This window comes from Homo sapiens, chromosome 22 (genome assembly GCF_000001405.40).
Source record: "Homo sapiens chromosome 22, GRCh38.p14 Primary Assembly".
Taxonomy (NCBI): domain Eukaryota; kingdom Metazoa; phylum Chordata; class Mammalia; order Primates; family Hominidae; genus Homo; species Homo sapiens.
In genome coordinates, this window is record NC_000022.11 from 44,094,842 (window position 1) to 44,106,314 (window position 11,473).

Genomic DNA, 11,473 nt, shown 5'->3' on the forward strand with positions numbered 1-11,473 from the left:
CAGGCCTAGGCCTGGCTTGTTGGAATCGTTTCACTGGGCTTTGCGGTGCAGGAGCTGTCCTGAGTCTTCTCAGTAAGAAGACTCTTCTTCTTCCACACCACGTGGCGTGGCGTGGTATGGTGTGGCGTGGCGTGGCATGTCCCCAGGGCCAGGGGAGATTAGGGTGAGGATATTGGCTGGGAGTGTAGGAGCCCCGTGAGAGCCCAAGGAAAGAGGTGGCTGGGGACTCTGGGCTCTGCGGCTCAGGCTCTGAGTGGTTTTCATATGAAAGGTGTGCTCACAGAGGGTGGTTTACCATCTCTAGGAATTAGCTTGCCCTGGAGGTGCAATCTCTCCAGAGTCAGCAAGGCCCCGAGATGCCAAGCACCAGAAAATACAGAAAACAGGGCGGGCACGGTGGCTCACACCTGTAATCCCAGCACTTTGGAAGGCCAAAGTGGACGGATCACTTGAGTTCAGGAGTTTGAGATCAGCCTGGCCAACATGGCGAAACCGCGTCTCTCCTAAGAATACAAAAATTAGCCGAGTGTGGCTAGCCTGTAATTCCAGCTACTCTGGAGGCTGAGGCAGGAGAATCGCTTGAACCCGGGATTGGGATGTTGCAGTGAGCCGAGATCGCACCACTGCACTCCAACCTGGGTGACAGAGCGAGACATCTCAAAGTAAAAAAAAAAAAAAGAAAAAAAGAAAATGCAAAACACAATTAATATGCTTCTTCCCTTTGGGCCAGCCAGAGCTGCCCGCGGCCTGGGCTTGCAGGGTGGGCTCTGCCAAGTGGCCCAGGCCCCTGCGCTCACTGCCTGATGTAATGGGTAACAGCCAAGACACATTTTCCTTAAAGTGTGTTTTGGGATCTAGCTGATCTGGAAGGCATTTATGGAACATTCTGCGTATTTCCAAACCCTGGTTCGAAGGGAAGTCCCGGTTCATCCCTTTTTTGTGGTTTCCGTGACGAGGCCAGGCCAGCAAGAGCTTATGGAGAAGAAACGCCGATGCAAGTTCAGCCGCCAACCGACCCGAAGCCAGAGCTGGTGATGCTGCCTGAGGTCGCACCAGGGTCCACGGGGCTTTCTCTCCCTCCGCTTAGAAGAGAGTGGCCCCACCAGGCTCGGTGGCTCAGGCCTGTAATCTCGGCACTTTGGGAGGCTGTGGCAGGTGGATCACCTGACGTCAGGAGTTCGAAACCAGCCTGGCCAACATGGCAAAACCCTGTCTCTACTAAAAAATACAAAAATTGGCTGAGTGTGGTGGCAAACACCTGAAATCCCCGCTACCTGGGAGGCTAAGTCAGGAGAATCGCTTGAATCCAGGAGGCGGAGGTTGCAGTGAGCCGAGGTTGCACCACTGCGCTCCAGCCTGGGCAACAAGAATGAAACTCCATCTCATAAAATAATAAAATAAAATAATTAGCCAGGCATGGTGGCACACGCCTATAGTCCCAGCTACTCAGGAGGCTGAGGTGGGAGGATTGCCTGAGTCTGAAGAAGTTGAGGCTACAGTGAGCCAAGATCACACCACTGCACTCTAGCCTGGGTAACAGAGTGAGACCTTGTCTCAAAAAATAATAATAATTGAACTCACTCACTGAATATTTGCACAGCACCTGATTCTTTCTGAAGTCCTCTTTGTATATTTCATATCCTTTGGGCTCATAAATGTCATCATTGTAGCGAATATTGGGGGTCCACTGTGAATGCTTCTACTCCTCAGTCCCTTCAGTGACCCTGTGAGGTGGGTTGTATCATTATCCCCATTGTACAGATGGGGAAGCTGAGGCACAGATCTAAGATCACAGAGATCACTAGTAAGTGCCAAAGTCTTGAACCCCGGGCATTTTGCCCCCAGAGCTAGGCTCCTCCCCCTGCTCTAGACCCTCTCAGTGAAGATGGTGGCCCTCATCAGAGGTGAGTAGGACAGGTCCCTGTCCTTGGGCACGTTTTATTGCAGCTGGCTATGACGCACAAGGTGGGGAGGGCGGGGGCTCGGTTCCCACAAAACACTGGCACAGAGATACCACCCTGGCCTCTGGGCACTGCTTCTCCTCTGACTGAAGTGGAGAGAAACCTGAACCAGGCCCACCTAGCCTGTGTGGACCCAGACCTGCTGAAGATTCTGAGCCCATGTCTGACCCCCCGGCACCCCCTGGATGGAGCAGCGCTTGCTGTACCCACTGTGGTGTCCCGGGACTGTGGGCTCCTCGAGGGGTCCTGCCTCAGTCTTGGAGCCACCGAGAGGAGCATGGCACAGTTTAGCGACCACTAAAGTCACACAGCTCAGAGATGGCATGGCGGCTGGTGTCTGCTCTCAGCTTCCTTTTAGGAAAAACAAGGAGCCTCTCACAGCCCTTTTCTTCTCTCCCAGAGTCCCTGGAGTCCTGTTCCTCAATGCAGGATGTCAGAAAGTCCCAGGGCACTTGGCAGTGAGGGTTCCTGGCCACCCGAAGACCTACCAAATGGGAGTATGCGGGCCCAGGCCCCTCTGCTTTAAACATGCCTGCAGTGACTCCGGGGCCCACTGAGGTTTGGGAATTGCTCCCCTCTAGGCCGCGTGAGCAGCCCGTAGCAGACTGAGGGCCATGATGTGCAGTGGCCTGCGGGGGTTTCATGTCCAGGGTCCCCGGTCAAGGCTAGCAGGTCATGAATGCTGACAGGCAGCAAGGGCTGACTGTGAGCTCTGGAGCCCCCAGATACAGAGGTGTTTCTCATCTGGAGCAAGCGCCTGCTCTGAATCAGGCCCCTGCCCCGTGAGACGCAGCTGCTCCCTGGTCTGTGCAGAGCCTCTGATTCTGGCCTACTGTCACCATCACCAGGTGACCAGGAGATCCCGGCGGGATCTGCAGACATGGACACACTGCCACACATAGCTGCCTGCCTGGGGCCTGCTGTCCACCCTCTCAGGCCCACTGTTCCCCTCTAGGCGGGGTCAGGAATGAAAGCTACCCCACGGGGACAGGTAAAGACCGGAGATGCCTCTGAGAAAGTGTTTGGTAACAGTAAGCCTCGAAACGGCATCTCTGTCCTCCACCTTTCACAGTCTCTGGGTCAGACGCCCCATTCCTCTCAGTGGTCCCGCCGACTGAGGCAGGACCCCTCAAGAAGCACACAGTCCTGGGACATCCGAGCCACCATGGCATGCTGCCCAGTCTGGGGTCAGACGTGGGCTCAGAGCCTTCAGGAGGGAGCAGCGAGTTCCCTGTGGGGGCCACATGAGCTGGGCGGGCCCGAATCTTGCTTCTCCTCAGTTCAGCGAGAGCAAGGTGTGGGGACATGCTAGATAGGGCAATGCTGAGATTTTTAGTGTGGGTTGAAGGGGATGTTTCCAGAAACGGGCTCTCTGAAGGCTGGGATTGGGTAGTGACCTGCTCACTCTCCGTCCTGCACCCCCTCTCATACACGTGTGGACTCACGGCCTGGCCCTGCTCCTTGCCCGCCTGAGATGGGTGGTCCAGAGGGGGTCTCAGACATGGGTCACACAGGCACACAAAGTCCTCTTTGGGGCTGGAGAGCTTGGAAGATTTGGCATTCGGGCTCAAGGATCTCAGCTGGGGAGCTGAGGTCTGAAGGGTGAAGGAAACATGGGCCAGGGAGAGAGTGTCAGACAGCGGGAGCAGGTGCCAAGGCTCAGGGCAGGTGGCAGCAAGGCTTCAAGGAGTGAGGGAAGGCCGGATGGGCTGGAGCAGATTGCACCAGGAGGGCAGGAAATGAGGCGGGAGAGGGGCCTTGGAGGCCACATGGAGGACGCCGGCCTTGATCCCAGCAGGAGTGGGAGGCTGCGGAGGCCTTTGCAGAGATATCATCAGGACTCCCGAGAACTCCCTGCACATTACCTGGAGTGTCCTTTTCAGGCATCAGATCTGTATGACTTCAAAATTAGTTTCTCCATGTTGTCAGAGTTTACACTCTGCTGCCGGGAAGTTGCATCACATCCGTGTCAGCAGCAAAGTTTCACTCAAAGCCATTTTCTTTCTTTCTTTTGTATTTTATTTTATTTTATTATTTTATTTATTTTTAAAAATAGAGACAGGGATTTCACTATGTAGCCCAGGTTGGTCTGGAACTCCTGGGCTCAAGCAATCCTCCCGCCTCAGCCTCCCAAAGTGCTGGGATTGTAGGCAGGAGCCACTTACGCTCAGCTTCAAAGCTGTTTTCATTCTGACCGACATGGTCAGTGTCCCCAGCCCCATGGGAGCCTGTCTGGGCTCTGGGACCCTGGTCTCAACTGTGTCCTGGCCATCTCCACTTGTATGTCCTGGGGGTAACTGGCTTCTGCCTGGAGCCCCTCTTGTGCCTTTTTTCCTCTTTAAGAGAGAGGTGTGGTATAGAGCCTCCCGGTGAGTGGAGCCTGGGCCCCACCCGACCCATGCTCTGTGCAGGTCCCGGAGCTGGACAGTGTGGCAGCCTGAGACCCCCTTGCCCTTCCCTGTGTGTGTTCAGAGGTGCTCGGCGCCCGCTGGCTTCTGTGTGGTGCTGGGCATTTCTGCTGTGGAGCACGCCTAGCCTTGGTGGGTGCCCCCTCCGCAGTCCCGCCTCCCCACTGTCTCCACGGCACTGTCCTCCATGACGGGCTCAGCTGGCTGCCTGGTGTCTGTGGGATCCAGGCTGAAACGTGGAGGGAAAGCAAACAGGTAGAGAAATAGAAAGAGGGTGAGGCTGAACACGTTTTGCTGTTACACATCATCCCCCCCCACCTTTTTTTTTGCTATTTATTTCTCAATATTTTTTCTGCATGTTATTTTACATACAACATTGCATATTGATTCTTTTCCATGGAATGTACCAAACATTTTCCATTTCATTATAACCATCCAGACTCTTCAAATGTATTTATAAATAGTGGCCACAGGGAACTACCTGGTGCCTGAAGCTTTCCCACATACCAGATTCCGGCCAGCGGAGGCATCTCATGCCCTGTGAATGCTGCTCTCTCCTTATTTCTCCTGAAAAATGGAAATGGTTTGGACCAGCTGCTGGCGGAGTCTGGGAGGAGCGAGGCCGGGCAGAATGATGAGTTTGACTTCATCCCTTTCCAGAAGAGGGGAAGGCGGGAGGATGCCCCATCCACCTTCCAGAAGGCGGTTCCTTGCAGTCACCCTCCCCTAGTGCTGGGTTCTCTGCTTCTCCATTTGTCAGAGATGAGTTGGCCTCCCCCTGGTTCCCCGTGTCCCTGCCACCCCCACAATCGCTGACCGTGACTTCCTTTTGTCCCTGGCAGAGGAGAACGAGGAGCGCACGATGATTGACCCCACTTCCAAGGAAGACCCCAAGTTCAAGGAACTGGTCAAGGTAAGGAGCTCCGTCTTGGTTGGAATCTTCCTCTTAGGGCGAGGACTTGGCTTTGGGGTTCAGGGCTCTCATGGACAAAGGGAGCTAAACCCGGGGCTCCTGAAAGGGATGTTGGTGCTGCATGAGAAGGTGGGCAGACATGTTGGCAGAGGAGGACGGCAGAGAGGATCCAGCCCGAAGTGCCAAGCGCCTCCCATGTGCCCTGCTCGGCTGGGGCTTTAACGACCAGTCTTGTGAACTCTTTGCTGGACAGAGCTCGGCAGGAGGGGATTTTAGGATTAGGAATGAGTGCTGGCGTGAGCTAGTGTAGTACCTTACAGATGGAGTTGGAACTCCGTCTGGAGCCTGGTGGGGTCTAGATTCAGATTTAACCCTGAAAAGCAGGAGGGGTCACCCTGGCCACTCCTGGCCAGGAGCCATCTGATGCCGATGCCTGCGCTGAGTGGACAGTCAGTTTCCACCACGTCTGGAGGCGTGAATCCCAGCTGGGCGAGGAACCTGGCTGCCCCGCTCCCAGAAGTCAGGGAACAGTGAGGGAAGGGGCCCATGGTGCTGGCCTTCTTGGGCAGCGGCTGTCCTTCTCCAGCGTGGCTCCTGCTCACCGTGAGGCAGTGCTTGTGTGGGTCCAAGGACAGATTGCAGTTTTGGTTGCTCTGATCGAAACCACGGTAGGGCTTGAGAGAGAATCCCCTGAAGAGGAGAGGCTGTGGGCTCTGCCTGACCTTGGTGAACCCAGGGTGGGCTCTTGGGCACACGGCTGTGGCAGACACTTGGCTTCCATAGCCCACGGCGAGCTTGGGCACCCCGGGATTCTTGAAAATGCCGATGGTGACAGTGTCTGCCAGAAACAGACATTTTTCTATTAAAAGTGCTTTTTAAAAAGCTTCTCCACCTTCACCACCACAGTGGACCCAATGCTGGGCTGTACAACTGTGTTTTCATGAGGGCTCATTCAGAATAAGTAAGACGGCTTGCAAGTTATGTTCTTTTAAAATCTACATTGAGGCTGGGCGCGGTGGCTCACGCCTGTAATCCCAGCACTTTGGGAGGCCGAGGCGGGCGGATCACGAGGTCAGGAGATCGAGACCATCCTGGCTAACACGGTGAAACCCCGTCTCTACTAAAAATACAAAAAATTAGCCGGGCGAGGTGGCGGGCACCTGTAGTCCCAGCTACTCAAAAGGCTGAGGCAGGAGAATGGCATGAACCCCGGGGGGCGGAGCCTGCAGTGAGCCGAGATCGCGCCACTGCACTCCAACCTGGGCGACAGCGAGGCTCCGTCTCAAAAAAAAATAAAAAATAAAAAATAAAATATAAAATAAAATAAAATAAAATCTACATTGAGACCGGGCGCAGTGGCTCATGCCTGTAATCCCAGTACTTTGGGAGGCCAAGGCAGGTGGATCACCTGAGGTGAGGAGTTCGAGACCAGCCTGGTCAACATGGTGAAACCCTGTCTCTACTAAAAATACAAAAAATTTGCCGGGCATGGTGGTGGGTGCCTATAATCCTACCTACTCGGGAGGCTGAGGCAGAATTGCTTGAACCTGAGAGGCAGATGTTGCGTTGAGCCGAGATCTCGCCACTGCACTCCAGCCTGGGCACCAAGAGTAAAACTCCATCTCACAGAAAAAAAAAAAAAAGAAATTCCAAATGTCAGTTTTAGGGTCCACCCAAAGATGTTGATTATTAATAACTTAAATTATTTAATTTGTTTTATTTTTTCCCTCTGAATACCCACTTTGTTATTTCAAACAGAAGAACGTTGATGAGGAAAGTCACTGTCTTTTAGCCACGAAAATGTTGTTCTTGGGGGATATTTAAGCAAGGGATGCATGAGAATTATCAGGCTTCTACAAAGAAACAGACCCAATTGTGTCAATATCTAGAGAGAGGTTTATTATGATATTGGCTCACTTGACTACGGAGGCTGAGAAGTCCCCCGACCTGCCATCTGCAAGCTAGAAAGCTGGAGGGCCAGTGGTAGAGATGCCAGCCTGCGTCTGCAGCCCTGAGTACCGGGAACAGGGTGGGAGAAGATCCAGGTGCTGGCACTAGCAGTCCCCGGCAGAGAGAGGTGAATCCCAACTTCCTCCACCTTTTTGTTCTATGGGATCAGATGAGGCCCACCCGCTTTGGGGAGGGCTGTCTGCTTTACTCTATCCACCAATTCAAATGCTCATCTCCTCTGAACACCATTCCAGACACACCCAGAAACAATGTTTCATTGGCTATCTGGGCACCCCAGAGCCCAGGCAAGTTGACACAGAAGATGAACCATCCCATGCACCTTTCTAAAGATTTTTTTCTTTGATTTTTGAGCAATGCTTGAGAGTTCACAAACTCCATTCACAGGATTATCTCCTTGAAACAACACCCTGGGGAGCTGTGTCATTCTTGCTTCCATGTGGAGACTCAGAGAGAGGTGAAGGGGCTGGGCGCCATGGCTCACACCTGAAATCCCAGCGCCCTGGGAGGCCAAGGTTGGGGGGAATCACTTGAGCCCAGGAGTTCAAGACCAGCCTGGGCAACATGGTGAAACCCTGTCTCTACCAAAAAAAAAAAAATTAACTGGGTGTGGTGGGAGGCACCTGTAATCCTAGCTATGCAGGAGGCTGAGGTGGGAGGATTGCTTGAGCCCCGGAGGTCAAGGGTGCAATGAGCTAAGATTATGCCTGTGAATAGCCACTGCACTCTAGCCTGGGTGACAGAGCAAGACCCTGTCTCAAAAAAAAAGACAGGTTTAAGTAACTCCCCACCCCCAGGTGCTGGGGTTAGTGATGTGTCTGGGCTTGAATGGCTCTGTCCATTTGGTGCTGTGTTCACTGAGCCAAGTTGAGTGCGTGTGGGGTCCTGTGCTGGGCCCTGGGATTCGGGGATGGATAAGTGACTTCCCTGCTATGCAGGATTTGATTTATGTTCCTCCTGGATGTCTGCAGTGCCACCCACCCCTGCCTTTGCTGCTTTGCTGCCAAAGACCCCCAGGCTGTTTTGGCCTTGGTGGGGCGAGGGCTGGCTGCTGCATGTCTTCCAGGTTTCAGATTGAGAAGAAGGCCACATTGAGGGGCATGGGGTGGACTGATGGGAAAGCTAATTAGCATCCTTTGGGGCAAAGTACAACTATGGGGCAAAATACAACTAAGAACAGGAAGGAGCTGAGGAATAAATGCCTCTCCCCGACTTCCCTGATGTGGGCTTCTGAGACCATGGCTCATGGAGATGGGCTGCATGGCTGATCATCAGCTGGGTTTTCTTCTGAAGCCATAGCCAGCTCATGCACCTGCCTCACCTCCCTTCCCCTCCCTGTTGCTCGTCTAGGGTGCCCTCCCCTCACCCCCAAACCCCTGCCAAAGAAAAGGCATCAGCAGTGAGCTTTGTCCTGGCTCTGTTTTTCAGGGAACCTGGGCCAGAATCATGGTCCCCAAAGATGACCATGTGATAATCCCTGGAGCCATTGACTATCATCTTACATGGCAAAGGGACATGGTGGGTGTAGTTAGTGACCTTGCAATGAGGAGGTCATCCTGGATGATCCAGGCGGGCCCAGTGTGTTCGCTAGTGTCTGTATAAGAGGGACATGGGGAGCTTTGACTGCCCATGAACATGGCAGCTTGACCCTGGAGGCAAGGTGGTAGCTTCTGGCTCTGAAGATGGAAGAAGGGGCCATGCACTAATGGATGCAGGCGGCCTCTGCCTCTAGAAGTGGAAAAGACAAAGAAATGGATTCTCCACTAGAGAACCCAGAAGGAACCCTGGAGCCTCCAGAAGGAACCAGCCCTGCTGACACCTGGATTTTAGCCCAGTGGAACAGATTTTGGACTTTGACCTCTAGGACTGCAAGAGAATCCACTGAGCCGTTGGAAGCCCCTGGGTTTGTGTTAATTTGTTACAGTAGCCACAAGCAACTAACACCATCCTGTTCTCCAGGCTGCTGCCTCCAGCTGCAGCTGGCGTGCCCTGGCCACTGGGGCCAGGCAGGGTGGGTTTTGATACCTGCAGCGGCAGCATCCTTGGCCATTTCCTGGAAGGGCCAGTTGCCAGACACTGAGATGCCTGTTACTGCAACTGTCCCACCAGCCTGGAGCACGTGTTTCTGGAGACAGGCAAATTCTGGAAGGCTCCACCTGCTCTCAGACTGCAGGTTGCGTCTCAAAGCAGGCTGGCAGACATTTTCCACTCTTGATCAATCATTTTCCAAAATAAGCATAGACACAGCAACCCGGAGAGCAGCTTCGGTTTGGCTGTCGGTGGCGTGTTAGTTACTGTAGTGGTGGCACAGAGGCGATATACGTTAAATATTAGTTCTCACTGACTATAGCCTTTTAAACAGAGCAGCGTGTGGGTGGCAGCAGGTGAGTTGGCTATACTGAGCTTGGGCTGCCCTTGGTTGATTCTTGTTTGTCAGGCATGCAGGGGGCTCTCTGTGCGTCCAGGCATATTCCCTGTCTGGATTTGCTTGTGTTCATGGATTTTCAGCACCTCCTTTCTTCTGGTTTGGGAATGAGTCAGGTCCTCACTACACAAGGCCAGAGCAGTATGCGTGTGTGGGTAGGGGTGAGCAGGTGTCATTCCCTGCCTCCCCTCCTCCTTCACTGCCCCAGCCACCCTGACCACCTTGCTGTTCTGAGGACACACTGAGCCAGTGCCCACTGGGCATCAGGTGAAAGGGGACATCCCACAAGCCCACCCTCACTTCTGACACCAATGGCAAGTTCAGGATCTCCAACACTGCCCTGAGGTTTGGTCATTTGCTAGAGGGACTCCCAGAACCCACTTAAAGCTGTCACCCTCACAGTTACAGTTTCTGATGGTGAAGGGATACACATGAAAATCAGCCGAGGGAAGAGTTGCCCAGGGCAGAGTTGAACGCACCCACACAGCACCTCCATTGTCCTTTCACCATGGGGTCATAGGCAGCGTTACTCTCCCGGTGATGTGGGACAATGCGCATGCAGTATTGCCAGCCGGGGAGGTCATCTGAGCCTCCGTGTCCAGAGTTTCTGCTGGAGCTCACTTGCATGGGTGTGGCTGACTGTCCACATGGCTCATCTGTCTCCAGCCCCTCCAGCAGCTGGCTGATAGAGTGCAACCCAAAGCCCCCTCCCTGAATGACATAGTTACTCCCTGGCTGGCCCGAGGGCCCCAGGTAAGCAGAGGTACTTTATCTGGCAGGGCATTTCGGAGCTTAGGAGATCACCTCCCAGGGGCTGAGGTCACAGGCCCAACCTCTCTGTGGGCAAGGTTAGGTTCATTATCACGTACCTGGTCTTTGGACTTTCAAAGGCCCATGCCTGGAGCTGTCTTCAACACTTCTTTCAGTTTTCTCTCAATGCTTCCTCCTTGGAGACGTATTTCCTGCCCCTGTCACTCCATCACTCTCCTCCTAACCCCAGTTACTTTTTCTTTGCTGGGCTTGCTGCTGCCTGGAGTCATTTCCTATTTACTAGTTTGTTTTTGGTCTTTCTCCTCCCCTAGAATGTAATCTTATGCTGTGAGGGACCATGACCATTCTCTTCCCAGCTAAATCCCCAGGGCTGGAGTTGTGCTGCACATGCAGAGCTAATTCATCCTTGATAGATAGTAAGAGAACCGATGGGGGTCTGTGTCAGCAGCACCAACATGAGGTTCACACCAGCGTCTCCCAAGATGGCATGCGGCTTAGAGACAAGACAGATGTGGTTGCTTTTTGTTGTTGTTGTTTTGTGTTGTTGTTTTGAGATAGGGTCTTACTCTATCACTCTATCACCCAGGCTGGAGTGCAGTGGCATGATCTCAGCTTACTGCAACCTCTGCCTCCCAGGCTCAAGTGAGTCTCCTGCCTCAGCCTCCCAAGTAAATGGGATTATAGGTATGCACCATGATGCCCGGCTAATTTTTTGTATTTTTAGTAGAGAGGGGGCTTCACCATGTTGGCCAGGCTGGTCTCAAACTCCTGACCTCAAGTGATCTGCCTGTCTTGGCCTCCCAAAGAGCTGGGCTTACAGGCGTGAGCCATTGCATGCCCAGCCAGATGTGTTTTTTTTTTTTTTTTTTTTTTTTTTTGCTCTACCCCAAACCTGTGAGATGGCAGGGAGGAGGCTCTGGGAAGAGGGGGTGAGGGTTGGGGTAAACCTGTGGATTGGATGCTGATGTAGGTGGTCCCAGGTGCTCCCTTGGGAGGAGATGGACAGTCCGGATGGTGCAGACAAAAC

General features: G+C 53.4%; 1 protein-coding gene across 11 annotated transcripts in view, besides 1 other annotated feature; it reads left to right on the plus strand.

The window, feature by feature from the left end:
- The window catches only part of PARVB (parvin beta), a 173,729-nt gene that overhangs the window by 95,631 nt on the left and 66,625 nt on the right, over window positions 1–11,473 (plus strand). For all 11 annotated transcript variants that reach the window (NM_001003828.3, XM_024452236.2, NM_013327.5 and 8 more), the window contains one exon: window positions 5,212–5,282. In NM_001003828.3, the coding sequence (NP_001003828.1) occupies window positions 5,212–5,282 (71 nt within the window). The remainder of the gene's footprint in view (window positions 1–5,211; window positions 5,283–11,473) is intronic.
- Window positions 10,914–11,414: an enhancer, noted in NCBI's record as "H3K27ac hESC enhancer chr22:44501635-44502135 (GRCh37/hg19 assembly coordinates)". NCBI's record gives its function as "activates a minimal SCP1, AML or CMV promoter by ChIP-STARR-seq in primed H9 embryonic stem cells {active_cell/tissue: H9 hESC(primed)}" and the evidence as "EXISTENCE:reporter gene assay evidence [ECO:0000049][PMID:30033119]".